Raw genomic sequence first — 17,152 nt, forward strand, 5'->3', positions numbered from 1 at the left:
TGGCTATTATCAAAAAGATAGAAAACAACAAATGTTGGTGAGGGTATGGTGAGAAGGAAACCCTTGCACACCACTGATAAGAATGTAGATTGGTATAGCCACTATGGAAAACAGTATGAAGGTTCCTAAAGAAATTAAAAATAGAACTACCATAGGGCCCAGAAATTCCTCTTCTGGGTATATACCTGAAGGAATTAAAATCAACATCTCATAAAGATGTTGGCATATCTATGTTCAGTACAGGATTAGCCACAATAGCCAAGGTATGGGAACAACCTAAATGTCCATCAATAAGCTAATGAATAAAGAAAATTTTTATATATACACAATGAAACATTATTCAGCCTTAAAAAACAAGAGGTCCCTGACATTTGCCACAGCAGAGATGGCTCTGAGGACACGGTGTTAAGTGAAATAATCCAGATAAGAAAGAAAAATGTTGCATGGTCTCACTTATATGAACAATATATATTTGGGCTCATATGTGTGTGTGTGTATATATATATATATATATAGTGAAAGGAATGAGAGAGGAAATGGGGAGCTTTGGGTCAAAGGATGAAAAATAGCAGATACATTGAATGAACAAGTTTAGAGGTCTAATATAAAATATGAGGACTAAAGTTAATAACATTTTATTGTATTAGAGAATTTTGTTGAATAAAGAGATTTTAGCTGCTTTTGTCACAAAAAAGCAACTGTGATATGATCGCTGTGTTAATCAGCTTCACTATAGTAACCATTTTACTATCTATATGTGTCTCAATTACATCGTGTTGTAAATCTCAAATATACACAATAAAATTTATTTTTAAATATTTTTATGTAGATTATTCATACGATAATATATACATCACAGTGACAGCCCAAAATCTGCCAATATTTATTTTTTCAGCCTGCTTGGTAGTAGAACTCTGATTTTGATCTTTGCATATGGTAAATGGTAAATTTACCATATTTACCAGCTTTCCTTTTAGCTAAGGAATTAACTTCTGGCCAATAGGTTTCTAAGAGTATTGCCCTATAATTGAGGGCACATGCTTTTCTTTTTCTTTTCTTACTTTCTGTTGGTTAAAGTGCAGATATAATGGCTGGATCTAGAGCAGCAATTCTGGTCCATGAGATGACATTTTGGCATGGAGGCCTAAATGGAGGTTAACAAGATAGAGAATTTGAGTCTCTGACATCGTGTAATACCATGCCTGCGCTGAATCACCTAATTCTGAATTTCTCTGGGAGATAATAATAAGCTTCTAACTTATTTAAGTCACTTCTGTTTTAGTTTTGTTTTCTATTATTTACAGCTAAGTCTAAACCTATTAATATATTATTTTATCATCATTTCTTAAAGATAAAGCGTATCCTATATCTGTTCATTTCATTAAGTGATGCTCTAATCCATTAAACCTAATGACATACATTAACTCTCAAGTTACATTATTATGAATTTATTTCTAGTATCCTCTGGGCAATGATTAATGCAATGTAAGAGGCATTCTTGATGTATTGATAATAGATTTATATAAAGAACGACCAAGATAGCTTGCATTTCTCATTGGGCGCTTCCTACGGTGCTTACCTTAATTAACTTCATGACAAGAAAACCTCTCCAAGATTTTGTTTTTCCATGTTTTCCCATGTTTCCCATGTTTTTAAACATGAACACTGAGGACAAGGATTCTCATTACATCAGCCAAGGATTTTAACTTAGGCCTCTTTAAAGCCAATGTTATATGTCATTGCATATAAAAGATGCAAATGTTCTTTAAAGTGGCAAGACAAGAATAAATAAATGTAAAGCAATAGATAAATTAATATGTACTACAAGAAAAGCCCAAAGTGCTATGGAAATCCTAAAGTGAAAGAGATCCAGTTCTAAGGAACAACTATTAACTCTTACCATTTTCTAATTTTTTATTTGAAGTAGCTCAACTTATCATACACAAAGGCCTTTAGATACTTCAGTCTTGCTATAAAATCAATTTTATTATAAAATTCCTCTTTTTTGAAAAAATGTTTTCTATTCTTTAAAGAAGACATCTTTAGCGTCCCAAAATGACTAATAATATATTTTTTATTCTTCATGTTTCTAATGTATCAGAGGTTGATGTCTAGAAACAGGGACCAAATATACATGATACCTTTCTTAGCTAATTGTCAGTGCATTACTAAACCACAAATCTTCCTGCAAGGCTATCTAAATTCCATGAAATCATGAAATTCTCTATATAATTAATAATACTAGATTGAATGGTTTGTAGTCAAGTAATTCCTAAATCTCATTCAAAAGAAAGAACATTTATCATTGCTCCTAAAGAATGGAATTGCTGTTTAGGCAAGTGTATAAGTGTCTTTCCCATTAGCAGTGGCATGTAATACATTTGCTTGACTATAGAAAATAAACAAGTTTCCATTTATATTATGCTTAAAAGGCATAAAACCTACTCCCCAAAACGTTGTGAACTGTTTACTGTTTTAGAGATTCATTAACTCTTTCATGAAAATAAATTAGGATATTAAAGATCTCTTTATATGTATTTTGGCCCTCAAATAGCCTCTATTACTCTAAAAACTTTCAGAAACGTTTCAACATGTGAATTATGTTTATTCCTCAGGGCACTCATTTCTTTGAGATTCAGGTTTATTTTCTTGACTCATTTTGGAAAGCCAATTTCAATCTGCTTCTTAAATTACAAATCAGAAAAGAATTGGTTTATTTATAGCAGATATATTAACTGTCTCATAGTACTACTGATTATGCATACATTAAAATTATTTACCTTAACATCCAACATTAAAGAAACTGTCGTTAGTAAAGTCAAACTCAGAAGAAGAAGCAATGAGTACTGCAACAAAAGAATTGCTGGAATGACCCTTTCAATTTTCAAATCTGCAGATTATTCAAGAGCAAGATTTCCACCCAAATGCACTGTTAACATTTTAATTCACATACCGACAATCCAATTTCTGTACATTTTATAATATTCACCTAACATTAACATTTTAATTCACATACTGACTATCCAATTTCTGTAAATTTTATAGTATTCACATTACATTAATTATTTAAAATGATCAATTTAATTTGTTGCCACTTCCAAGTCTACAATAACATCATTGGTATACTCCATTCCCAAGTGAGACTGTTACAGGAAAATTGTTTATGTAACGCAGACATCAACTCTCTATTCCTCATATAACTGAATACATTTGGCAAGAATCTGATTCTGTATCCTCTACTAGTTCAAAATTTCCACCGATGACTGTGAGTTGCTACAGAATACTTCCTTATGTGTCTATCTGCTTCCACACATCTAAATCTTTAAAATTTTCACTGTTTTCGTACTTTGTTCTCTTCAGCTCTTGCTTTCTGTCCTCACGGATTATCAAGGTGTTTTTAACCTTCCAAATGGAAATATATCAGCTATTATTATCACAACATTCCCCCAAAATGCTTCATTTAAGCTTTATGTTATATATATAATCAATTAACAATTAGGGTGTACCTATCCTGTGTTATTATTTGTAAGGAAGGTACTAAGATATTTGTTATCATTTAATATTTCAACATGTCAAGGTTACTGTTCAGAGGTAAGAACCATCTGTTGCTGCACAATGGACAAGCTCAAGCCAAGAGGAAGACACCAATGCATGCAGCACAGTTTCTATCCAGCCTGGCTCATAGTCTGTCTCTGTTCCCGAGCCCATATTACAGCAGTTGCCCAACTATTCGATCATCTCAATCCTTAGGTGATATTCTCAATTGTAACAGTTCTTTCCATCATGAGAAAAATAATGATTTTATGCGGAAATCATCGGTAAATGTATCGGTAAATACAAGCTCAACATCCCCAACTCCTAAACATCCTTCCACTTCTAAGTAATTGCATAGTGCATCTCTGCTTCCTACTTCCTTTATCTCTCTACTTAAAGTGCTCTCCATTCATCTGCAGTCCTCTGCTCCCTCTTTCTCTTGTACACATTTCTTTTGTCTCTTGCTTAGAACTTTCCCTTAAATGCATTTAAATCCCTAAGGTCAAAGGGTTCAGTGATGATCATCCTCAAAAGGCCAAACTCACCTCTGATTGGTAACTACAATTGGGATCATCAAAATCTAGTAGATGAGAACACTTTCTTAGTTCCCTATTTTCTGCAAGATCCAGGTCAAACAATTCATCAAGTCCTCCTGAATTTACTTTTACAAACATTATCCTATTTCTTCCTTCCTTTTCAATGCTCCTCTCCATTTATCTCTCTGGTTCAGGATGTGCTGTCATCTTCTCCTACATTATTTTAGCAGCCTCTTAAATTGGCCCCCTGTGTTGGCCCTGAAACCCTGCCTTTGCACACTCTCATTGCAGTTAGAAACATTACTCTTAAATGTCATTATCTTGCTTATAAGTCATCAATGGTTGATCAAAGCCTGCAGGAGAATGTCGAACACGCCATATGATATGGTTTGACTCTGTGTCCCCACCCAAATCTCATCTTGAATTATAATAATCTCCACATGTCAAAGGCAGGACCAGGTGGAGACAATTGAATCATGGGGGCAGTTTCCCCCATGCTTTTCCTGTGGTAGTGAGTAAGTTCTCACGAGATCTGATGGTTTATAGTGGGCTCTTCCCACTTCTCTCGACACTCATTCTCACTCCAGCTGCCTGTAAAGAGGTGCCTTCCGCCATGATTGTAACCTGAGGCCTCCCCAACCACGGGGAACTGTGAATCAATTAAACATCTTTCCTTTATAAATTACCCAGTCTCAGGTATTTCTGCATGTCAGTGTGAGAACAGACTAATGCACCACATGATCCATATCTGGTGGAAGACTTACTCTCGATTTCATTTCTAGAAACACTCTGCCGGAAATTTATAACTGCAGTGACACTAATTTTGAAAGTTCTTTTTTTCTTCCACACTTACTTCCTCCTGCCCTTCTTCATGATTTTCCTTCAGTGTGATTTTTTTTTTTTTGAGATGGAGTTTCGTTCTGTACCCCAGGCTGGAGTGAAGTGGTGCGATTTCGGCTTACTGCAACTTCCACCTCTCAGGTTCAAGCGATTCTCCTGCTGCAGCCTCTCGAGTAGCTGTGACTACAGGCGCGTGCCACCACACCTGGCTAATTTTTGTATTTTAAGTAGAGATGGGTTTTCACCACGTTGGCCAGGCTGGTCTCGAATTCCTGACCTCAGGTGATCCACCCGCCTCAGCCTCCCAAAGTGCTGGGATTACAAGTGTGAGCCTCCACACCTGGCTGGAATTTTCATTAAACCCCAATTTCTGACCCACCAAACTCATTCCTCAACTAACTATTCTCATTGATTTAATCATCAGCTCTGACACTGTATCCTTCAGAAAAATGGTATTACTAGACCAGAGTAAAAAGCCACATCCCCAAAGAGGTAGCAACATGACCCATGAAGGGTACTTCAATATTTGCTTTTACCATATTTAATGACAAACATCTAACATCTCTGACTCTAGTACTTGGCTGAAGGACCCACTTCCAAGTTAACTTTCTAACTAATGTGTCTAGTAGAGTCATGATATGTAAAATTTCCATACTACAATTTGTTTTTGAAATATTGTAATGTAATCTATGTAATTGGCTTCTGAACATTTATTTAAAACTTCTAATTATTTTAACTTTTACCTATATACTGCTTGTTGAAGGTGATTATTTCTTAAATTACACATAGCTGAAATTAATATTTCTACTGATACTTACCTTTGGTCTCTGAATTTGCCAATCAATTAAAAAACTTGGCACATATCTGATGAGCAGGGAATAGTTTAACAAAGAAGAGATCGAATTTGGATTGTTATTATCTGAAAAATTAATGAGTTAGTAAATGAAGAGAAAGTATAGCCAGGATTGTGAGATAATTTAAAAGACTGAAGACTTTCCAGGGTCCTGCTAGGTGAAGTGGTGAAATACATGTATAAGCAAGAAAGAACCAATCAGGTAGGAGGACAAAAGAGGGAGATGGAAGTATGGAGAAGAATAAGGTTCGAGAATTCAGAATATCAGAATAGGAAATACAAAGACTGAGGAAGGATTTTTTTTTTTTCATGTTGACAACAGACAACATATATGTCAACAAGACTCACATCAACATGACATAACCACCAGTGTCAACATGACTTATTTGCTTGTTCCAGGCAAAGTTTACCTGGGAAAGATAAGACTGGAAACGAACAAATAACTTTATTGTTTGCTTCAGGAAATGTTTCCTGATCCATTTGTCAGAGACAATAGTTTTCCAACTTAGCCAAGCCATTCTCTGATCAAGACTTGGTTCAGGACCCTCACTTGGCAGTTTTCACCCATCCGGAACAGTACAAAAATTTGCCAAATTCTAATTAGTTCCTTAGTTCCTTGCCTTGACAGAGATGCCTTAACCTACTGACTTTTCCCCCCATCTTTAACACTGTAAAAACTGTCAAGGTGTTCTCGTCTCTAAAAGTAGTAAGTTCTAAAGTTGAGCTTTATTAACCGTTTTTCTAGTGATATGTTAGGGGAGTTGAACAATCTGGTGGTTTCTCCAATATCCACTCAAGGCCGTCTTGCTTCCCTGGTCTAAGATCTGAAACTTGTAAAGAGTAGGTTCCACTGAGAGGCCCTTTGAGCTTCTGCCTAAGGTCTCTGGCTGTGATAATGGGGTAAGTCAGGTACTGGTTCTAAGCTTTTTCTTGATTTCTCGAAAGCTAACTTTACTTTGTCTCCTAGGAATCCCTCGATTAACTGATCAGATTTGAAATTTGTAATTCTCAGTGGAAACCTGTCTGCTATATATCGATCCTCACCATTATTTTGGAAATCTATGAAAGTGTTTTCATTAGGAAGAAGCAAGAACGCAGAGATTGATAAATTTGTTTCTTGATTTGACCCCAGGGGTGGAAGAGTTCAGAAATTTCTCCTTCCACTAGCATCCTTCTGACAAATTCTATTTCAGGCCAATTATTAACATGTCATGTGAGCTTTTATTTTGTTGATGAGAGTCTGGCACTGCAACAAATCTCTTTCCTAAACTTCTCTTTTGCCAGGAGTCATAGGCAGACTGGGGCCCAAAGCACAAGACCAAAAGCAAAGCTTTCCAATGGACGTTGCTGGACTCATGAGTTTTTATCAGTGGACACCAAAGTTCATGCATCTTCTATCCCAGACCCTTGCTCTTGATACAGTATACATATTTATACTGTAATTCCAGATGACAATCTGCCACGTTGGGTAACCTTTGATAACAACAAATGTTCATTCGAGAGGATACTTAGTACAGAAAGAAAATTAAATTCCCAACCTTCAATGGTCTTCAAAGCTAAAATCCTCTAAATCTCAATTCCTTCATAAACTTAAATCCCTTTAAGAACAAAGCAAGATCCTCAAGATTAGTTGTAAGCTCTGGTTCCCTACTAAGCTGAGAGCCATTGTCAAATATTTTACAAATCCTCTACAAGTTAAACTGAAATACATGGAGTAATTTAAAATAATTCTAGGAGTACACAATACAGGGCTCACAAATCTACCTCAGTTTACTCATACGCTGACAGAAACCTTCAATGCAACAAAAAGAAAAAAATAAATGAAAAAGAGTGGGAACTTCCATGTAAAAGTGATCATTTTAAATAAAGAATTACCAATGGGACTTGTGTGTTCATGTGATTTCCTTAAACGTATTTGTTGCCTTAGGAAAAGCTACTTAAACTTCCTGAACATCAGTTTTCTCATTTGTAAAATGTATGTACTTTATAATGGTGTTGTGAGTGTTGGATATTAACAAACGTTATCTTCCTTAGAGCAGTGCTATATAAAAGGTAAAATCCTCAATAAATATTCACTGCTTTTTCTACAACTATTACCTCCTCTATGAAATCTTCATTGAAGATTACATTTCTTCATGATGCTTTTTAGAAGTAGATTTTTTTTGCATAAATCCAAAGAAAGGTACATGTTTTCATTTTTTTGGATGCAGGGTAGAAATACTGATACCTTGTACATAGATAAACCATTCAAACTGGGGTGTGGTGGGAAACTCAGAGACATCATTCTTTCTGGATTCTTCTGCTTTATTTTCCTTCTTTAATTTTCTCTTCCTGGTTTCATTCATTTTGTGCTTATCTAGTCCTTCTCTTACCAAAAGAACAAATAAACTCATTCTCCTCTCATGCTTCTTGTCTTCTCTTCCATCTCTACTCTTCTCCACTGTTATATTTAGAAATATCCTTCAGTAGGGAATTTAACTATGTCATTGTATTCCACATCTTTATGAAGCTGGAAGCACACAGGCTCCACACTGCACAGTGACTAGCCTTGACTAAGTTATTTACCTGAAAATACAGTAAGAATAAATACCACGTAGAACTGACACGAGAACTAATGGTGACATGTGTAATACTAGACAAATGTGCCCAAGAAATGGTAGTTCTGGAACTAGTTTTTTTCTTAAGGTTGACCCTAACTTTGCAAATAAATGTTTATCATAATCTCTACTTGAATATCTATTTAGAATTTCAAATACAACACTAATACCTGTTACAAAGTCCATTCCTTTTGCTTTAATTCTTAAAGAAATGCATCAAGATTTTAGGCATATTTAAGTTCAAGGGCTGGAAATAATTGTATGGTTTTTTGCCCCGTGCCTTCAACCAATTGCCGGACATTGCTGGCTCAAACAAACAAACAAACAAACAACAACAAAAACGCAGTGACACTTTATTCTAGTGCCACTATTCTAATTCTTATGCCTTATTATTTTTTACCTACATTATTTTATTCTACACAGAGCTGCCATATGCATCTCCCAGTAGCGCTTTTCTCATAATATTAACACTCCCTGCTCAATACTCATAAGGAATCCTTATTGCCTACAGAATAAAGTCTATTTTTTTTTTTTTTGCTATTGCTGATGTGCTGATGGGTACACATCCTACTGCAGTTTAAAAACTTTTTGTCACATTTCAAGATCTCTCCAATTGTAACATCTCCCTTTTATTTCACATAGAACAAATGTTTCAGAATTGTGATGATATACAATATATATGTATTGTATATGCCTGTCATCTGCTCAGTTTGATAGTTCTGTTATAACAGCATGTATAGACAACAGTATAGATACTGTAAGGAGGGGGGGATATGCTTCCTTATCAAACAAGTTTATTTGCTCCTGCTATTATCTATCCACTGAGTACAGATACCTGTGTTAATTCCCTCCTGCTGAAGGCATTTATATTTTCAGTCTCTGACATGAAAATTTATTGGTGGCACACATTTCCTTTATATAAGCTATTTTTGTTCATCGTAATTCAATAGTTGTTTAATGCCTACATGCTTAAATTTAGCATGGTCACAAAATCTACCAATGATTTAAATATAAAAGGTGATAATTTGTATTAATCTTTACGTACATCTATTAACAAAAATATGATACAAGCAGAAGCATCAGATTGGAAACAACTATTGAAAAGATGAATAAAACAAGTGGATGAAATTGGTCAAAGCAGGCTTGAGTAAAAGTGTATGCTAGAACTAGAAAACCAATCTTAATAAATGAAGCACCAAAGAAATCCTTTCAGGATAAATTTAAAGGGTAGTTTTTTATATTGAGCATATCAAAATCCAAATATTTCTGGTGGTTCTATTCATATTCAGTATGAAAACTCTCCTTCTTTCTGAATATAGACAACACCTCATATTACCTTCTCTATCATGTGCTAAGAAAATAAACTTATCTTTTTGAAGTAAAATTTGCCCTTATTTCCACAGAAGAAATAACCACTAACTGTATGCCTGAAAATAGCAGCATACTTGAAAAGGTTCAGCAAAATCCTTTACTGCTGTCAAAAACTAGATTTATAAGCCATATCTAGTGGGTTAACTAGAAGTTAAAAGGATATTAAATTTACCTATATCATACCCCAGAACCTTTGATATAGGAAAGTCATAAAAAGACAAGAATGAGAGAGAGAGAATGTCCCAGGATTTATTTAATTTATTTTAAGCTGAACTTATTTCTATTTTTAGATTACCTAGAATGTCAGGGTAAGTGCTCAGGTATGAGTGGGGCAGTTGAGTTGGGTAAATAAAATAAAGGTTAAAACTTAAAAAGACAGTATGTATAGAAAAGTGTGTCACAATAGGATCAGATTCTAGAAATGAAATCAGCTGGGTAATATTGGTTTCTTAAGTCCTTGAGGTTACTAGGGTTTTAAAAATAGCTTCTGTCTCCAAAGTTGACACAAAATTCTCTATGCTTTTTAAACAAACACTTTTACTCAAGCCACAGAATGCAATTTCAGTAAGTGCTGAACTCCATTATTTTGAGATCCCTTAAGAGTTTTACAGCCTCCTGGTATCATCCCCTTATGCGATGTCTCCACAATCTGTTGCTCACTAAAAAACAATTTATTTTTCACAAACACTTGCTTGAATTTTAAGTAAAATCATTGAATAAGCTACACACCTACTTGTATAGTTTCCACTTCCCTGTCATGAAGAAAATAGGTTTATTTACTCCATTAGCAAATCAACAGAGCAGTGATGTGCTTCCAGAATGTGTTGGGCTCAGTGAATTTCATCTGTATCCACTTGGTGTTTGTTATGGTGAGAGAGAGTTGAAAACAGTGGAGCCTGTAAGTACTTTTAATTTCACATGTGGCCTAATGAAGCATGTTAATCAAACTCCACCAAATAAAATATATCTCACGAACCTGTATGGAGATTTAAAAAATGCTTAGGGGTAATTTGCAAAATGGTCGTTAAAATTAAAACATTGTTTATGATAACAATTATAAAGTATATTGACAGTTTATTGTTACATTTTCAATTAAAGATGCACGTTTCAAAATTTGGAGCAATTTTACTGATTTGTCGAGGCTTCTATAATAAAAGTGACATTTTGGTGATTGGGTAATAGATATTTAATTTTTCTAATGAACAATAATTATATTGACAATTGCCGTACAATATTTACCCGAATGAAAATTGCTAAAAAGACAAAGTGGGAGACAGAGATAGTATGTGTCAGGATTTATTTTCAGCTTAATTTATTTCTATTTTTAAATTACCTAGAACATCAGAGTTTTATCGGCTTTATTTTTTATTTTATTTTATTTCATTTTATTTTTTTGAGACAGAGTCTTGCTCTCTGGCCCAGGCTGGAGTGCAGTGGCGCGATCTCGGCTCACTGCAAGCTCCGCCTCCCGGGTTCACGCCATTCTCCTGCCTCAGCGTCCCGAGGAGCTGGGACCACAGGTGCCCGCCACCACGCCCGGCTAATTTTTTGTATTTTTAGTAGAGACAGGGTTTCACCGTGTTAGCCAGGATGCTCTCGATCTCCTGACCTCGTGATCCGCCCGCCTCGGCCTGCCAAAGTGCTGGGATTACAGGCGTGAGCCACCGCAACCGGCCGCTTTGTTATCTTTATTTGGTCTTTGCAGTCCAATCTTTCTGATTCCTTGAAACAGGTGCGTCTGGATGAGTAATTAGATATACTCTTGTTCCAAACAAAAAGCATCCTAATCGATCAGTTTATTTATTCGTTCCTTTATTGGATATTGAACACCAACTATGTGCCATTACTTTGACAGAAGCTGATAATACAAACCTAAAATTAAATGCACTTTTGGCTTTCTATTGCACATGTTCTAATAGGGAAGGACAATTAAGTTACAGTGAATAAAAACGTAGTACACTGGGTAGTATAATATATAAGTGGCCAGAGTGATGAGAATTAGAGGCAAAGGAGCTTGCATTTATTGTATTTATCAAGTTCCTCCTTGATAAGATAAACTTATGATTCTTCATGTAAAAAGACATGTATTTAAATAGTGAAGGAGCGAAATTGTTGACATACATTTTAAAATGTGAAAAGTTAAAATCAATTCAAAACATTTTGAGTTTGCGAAAGTATAGAACTAATGGGGCAATTAAGGGCCAAAAATATCAAAATAGCAATGAACAAATAACCATCACAGTTATTTTTTAAAAGTTTAATTAAATACAAGTAGAAGAAATGTCCTTAAATGATGTAATTTCTTAATAAATCCAATAAAATGCCATATATTTCCTTTTTTAAAAAATGTTTTAACAGTCCTACTCCTTAGTTTTTAAATAAGTTGACTTGTTTTCCAAGGTATTAACTATAGACTGTCAGCTTCTGGGTTAGTGGATAAAAAATTGATTTTTATTTGTAAAAGTTAATTTCAAGTTAATCTATTTGGCAAGAAATGAGAAATAATGACAGGTGTCCATAAGCTACTTAACCATATCTAGAAAAATGTTTGACTTTTTTGTTCTATAGCACTGTTGGTGGTGGTGGTGGTGGTAGCGGTAATTTTGGAAGGAAGGAAATGTAATTACAATTTAAAGAGAGAGGATGAGTGGGATTTTTGATTTAACCAGTCTGAATTTTATTATCTGTTCAGAATTTCTTGCTACAAAACTTAACATTTAAGATATTAATATATTATTAATAGATTATATTAATATCATGAGTAACATAGTCTATATATCACATTAAGTTTAACTAATGTCAAATTTGACCCATGGAAACAACAATTAAGGACATTATAATTATAAGCTATCTTACGTTTTTCCTAACGTATTTATCAACAAGGTAAGAAGTGATCTAGTTGTAGACTGGTAAAAATCAAACCCAAGCCCCATAAGAAATCTCATAAATTATTTTTCTGGGAAACTTAAATTTATATAATATTTCAAAAAAAATTAAGTAGCTTTTCTAATAAGGTGAAACATGAAATTATGCCCAGAAAGCCAATAAACGTAGGCAGTTTAAAAAGTACAGTGGCCCATCATTGAGAGTGGTCCTTGAATCAGGTCAAAAAAGAGGCAAAATGTCTGTGAAGTTACTTTAATTTTATTCGAGTGTTTAATGAGACATATGCTCTCAAGGTATGTCACTGAGATCCTATCAGAAATGGGCTAGAACTGACCATATCCAAGATAGCTGATTTTGGCTGCAAAGATAGGATCTGATTGGCAATCAATGTGTGCTTCCAGAGACTAATTTAGCAAATTAATTTCTTGAAATGACAGTAATGTGGAATCTAATTTATTATACCAAACAGTACGATTTAAGGTAGAAAATCACAATATTCAACACACTTATTTCCAACATGTGTTTTTAAAATAACAACTGGCCGGGTTCTGTGGCTCACACTTGTAATCCTAGCATTTTGGGAGGCCAAGGCGGGTGGATCACCTGAGGTCAGGAGTTCGAGACCAGCCTGACCAACATGGAGAAATCCCGTCTCTACTAAAAATACAAAATTAGCCGGGTGCAGTGGCGCATGACTGTAATCCCAGCTACTCGGGAGGCTGAGGCAGGAGAATCGCTTGAACCTGGGAGGCAGAGTTTGCTGTCAGCCGAGATTGCACCACTGCACTCCAGCCTGGGCAACAAGAGCGAAACTCCCTCTCAAAATAAAATAAAATAAAATAAAATATATAAATAAAATAACAACTATTAGGTACTCTATTTTATATTTTACTCTTACTATTTTATACTTCTATTATTTTTGTTTCCTTATTTTTAAAATCTATTTACACTTAGCATCTTTGCTTATTCTTCCTATTTGCATGTCAGTCTTTTATCAAGATAATGTTTGCTCATCTGAAATAATTCTTTTATATTTATTTATCATAAGTGCCATCAGATTTGTTTTGTTTTGTTTTGTTCTTGGGTCTCACTCTGTCGCCCAGGCTGGAGTGTAGTGGCAGGATCTTGGCTCACTGCAACCTTCACCTCCTGTTCTCAAGCGATTCTCATGCCTCAGCCTCCTGAGTAGCTGAGATAACTGGCATCCACTGCCATGCCCGGCTAATTTTTGTATTTTTAGTGGAGACGAGGTCTTGCTGTGTTGCCTAGGTTCATCTCAAACTCCTGAGCTTTAGTGATCTCTCTGCCTTGGCCTCCCAAAGTGCTGGGATTACAGGTGTGAGCCACTGTGCCCGGCCAGATTTTTTTTTTTTTTAACATAAAAACTTTTATTTTGTCTTTTTTGATAGAATAGTTTCACTCTGGACATTTATCCTCAGTACATTGAGGATCATATCGCACTGTCTTGGCTTCCACTGTTGCCATTGAAAATCAGCCTGTAAGTCTAACTGCATTTTTTATTTCAATATAGATACTGGGCTCTGTGCTCTTCAGTGGCTTTGGACATTTCTGTTTGTCTTAGATGTTTAACAGTTTCACTGTGATTTGTACAAATGTGGATTTCTTTATATTTAATCTGTTGGGGCTCCTTGGCATTAACAAATTTGAGCTTTTGTGTCTTTGAACAATTCCAAATTTTTAACCATTATAGCAGCAAGTATTTCCTCTTCCCCATTTTCTCGACTGTATCGGTATGAAACACTGGCTAAATCGATATTTAGACTTTCTGCTTTTTTATATTTATCATTTAATGTTTCATTCAAAGTTTCTTCTCTTTATCTCTGTATTGCATTCAGGAAAATTACTTTACTTATATTTCTGTTCTATTTCTAATGCATATAACATTTGGATAATAAGAGTGCATCCTGGATAGATATTTAAAACGAAAGTGATGGAAATAAGTTCATTAGCTGCCATGGCATCGTGGCTTGCCAGTTACTTCTCCTTCTTCAGTTTTGAGCCGTTCTTTGCCATTTCTTTAAGATATATATTTTGCATATTATTATATTTCATAAAATATTGAAATAATCAAAATTATCTAAACGAAGTTATGATTGGATCATGATCTTTGTACAATCTCAGTTTTTCACTCTTAAGAAAGGGGCCATGATGCTTTTCCTATATTGCCCGTTTGTTACATTTTCCACTCGGTGGCCGGAGGCATTATTATGGAAATAGTGTCAAGAAGTAGCGGATCTATCCCAATGTCCTGGATTTGAACATAATAGTTATGAGTTTCCATCATATCTGCTTACTGTCTGAAACATTTATGAGTGCATTTAACTCATGCAACAAAAAGTTGACTCTTGAAGTTTAAATAAACATTGGTTTTCTCACATAATCAGTCTGAAGATAGTTTTTTTAGGAACAATAAGGTGTCTCCTCCTCAATGTCCTTATGGCCCCAGGCCCCTTCTATCATTTTGCTTTGCTGTTCTTAATATATGAATTTAATGACTGTGTGGACATTGTGAGCTATTTGCAATGTCCCCTGTCCCATATACACAGCACAGACAGGCATAGATAAAAGAGAAACAAGCAGTAGGTAAAGTAAATATAAAGGACAATTTATTCGACATTACTTTGTTGTTGGTGAAACAGACCTGTGTATAAAGGATTATTACTTTTGTTTTAATGTTACTCAGCACTAGGATTCTTTATTTACAAATGCATATATAGAAAAAGAAAAAATGTATTTAAACACCTTACTAAAAGGTTTAGATGTTGAGAATTAATTCTCAAACAAAATGATGTAAGTGCATTTTATTCCCATTTTTCCCTTTGCAGAAGCCACATGAAGTGATGTCTAAGTTCTGTTATTTGAGTATGTAAAAGGATTTAGTAATGTCTGAAGAATGATGAGAAAATAAATTATTGCACAATTGCAATTATGAGCATGCTCAGGAAAATACATAAGAAGCCGTTTTTTCAAGTCTTTCAAGTCTTTCTTATTAATGTTAAAACTATTTTCAGTGTGCTCTTCACATGGATTTAAAACCTATTGTTCAGATTAACAAAATAATACAACTCACCCTTATTAAGGTATTGTCATGACTACAGGTTTGCAATCATCTTATACACTTTGTCTTACAGAGGGAAGGATGATGTAAGGTTTCTTTTTAAGAATAGACCTCAGCTGTTGAAATGAATAAATATAACTGCAAAATATGAACATTTGCACAGCCTATCTCAATCATGAATCGGATGTCACAGATACAATGTTCAGTCCAGAGGCACATGAGGTTCTTTTTGAAAAATAAGTACTTTTCTACGTGACAGCCAAGTACACAGTAAATTTGTAGTCATTTCCAATCTCCTTAAAATCAGAGAATATACATTTTGAGAATTTCGTGGCATGCTTTTAATATGGTTTACTATTTTAAATAGTACATCAGTATTTTCTTAAGTGATAACACCTATCTCAACTGGTTTCTGCTTCCCTATGTGCCCATCAAAGAGTATCTTTACAAAGATGAAACTGTTTCTCTTATTGTGAGAAACATGACTTTAGCAGAATTAAAGCATCTCCCAAGAAATATTTCAGGCATGGGATATTTTTCCTGAAGTCAGCAATATACAAATCTACATGAGTAATTTATATGTTATGTACTATCTATATTTTTTATCAGATATGATGGAAATACATTGTTTCTAAGGTTTCAAGTACCACACCTACTGTTCATGTTGTCTGAAAATAAACATTACTAGTGCTGCTTATGTGATTCTTAATAATAATATCTGCAAAATTACTGCTTGGTGAAGTATTAAAACGTCATATATCTTAAGGTAAATATTGAAACATAAATGTTTTTCTGCGTATCGTGTAACTCACTTCACACACCATACCATAGGAAAACATTCCATGCTTGGCCAACAATGCCTTACAAACCCAAGAATCTCAGCAAAATATCATTCATTATGTAAAAGATCATGTGCTTTTTCCTGAAATGCATATGATCATGTTAATTTGCACAAGGTTTTTTCAAGTAATTAAGCTTGTTAATTTTAACAATCTTTGGGATTATTCAGGAACTCTCTATCTACACCAGCAATGGAACAGTTATTATTATCGTTCATATCCGAATGAATATTCAGCTGGCAGTGTATTTTGTTCATATGATGCTTAATTATGAGTTTCGATTTTGAATATGTGGCCCTTGAAAGAAACAGTCAGAATCGGTGGGACTTGCAGCAAATGTTGAACTCACCATGCCAGACACAAGCGGCAGCTCCACAAGCGGGGGTGTTGCATCCTCTACCATTTGCATGTGCAATCTGGACCAAGGTTAGAAAGCTAATTAAAATCTCTCCTGGGGCCATGCAGCAGAGGAAAATGGAGGCATAACTAGAGAAAAGAGAAAAATGGCAACATTTTAAAAAAAGATAAAAATTTCCATCCCTGTCTGTCACACAACAACAGGCAGAAGGAAAGGAAATATGCTTGTTACCAAAATTCACTGAAAATTATAAGATGAT

General features: G+C 34.8%; 1 long non-coding RNA gene across 1 annotated transcript in view, besides 1 other annotated feature; it reads right to left on the minus strand.

Moving 5' to 3' along the window:
* Positions 1-17,152, minus strand: part of LINC02864 (long intergenic non-protein coding RNA 2864) — a 110,441-nt gene that overhangs the window by 29,711 nt on the left and 63,578 nt on the right. The window contains exon 3 of the long non-coding RNA NR_034133.1: positions 16,885-17,021. This is a non-coding gene — a long non-coding RNA (long intergenic non-protein coding RNA 2864). The remainder of the gene's footprint in view (positions 1-16,884; positions 17,022-17,152) is intronic.
* Positions 6,006-6,300: an enhancer, noted in NCBI's record as "tiled region #3365; HepG2 Activating DNase matched - State 9:DNaseU". NCBI's record gives its function as "activates a minimal TATA promoter and a strong SV40 promoter by Sharpr-MPRA in HepG2 cells {active_cell/tissue: HepG2}" and the evidence as "EXISTENCE:reporter gene assay evidence [ECO:0000049][PMID:27701403]".

Source organism: Homo sapiens, chromosome 18 (genome assembly GCF_000001405.40).
Source record: "Homo sapiens chromosome 18, GRCh38.p14 Primary Assembly".
In the NCBI taxonomy this organism is placed as follows: Eukaryota; Metazoa; Chordata; class Mammalia; order Primates; family Hominidae; genus Homo; species Homo sapiens.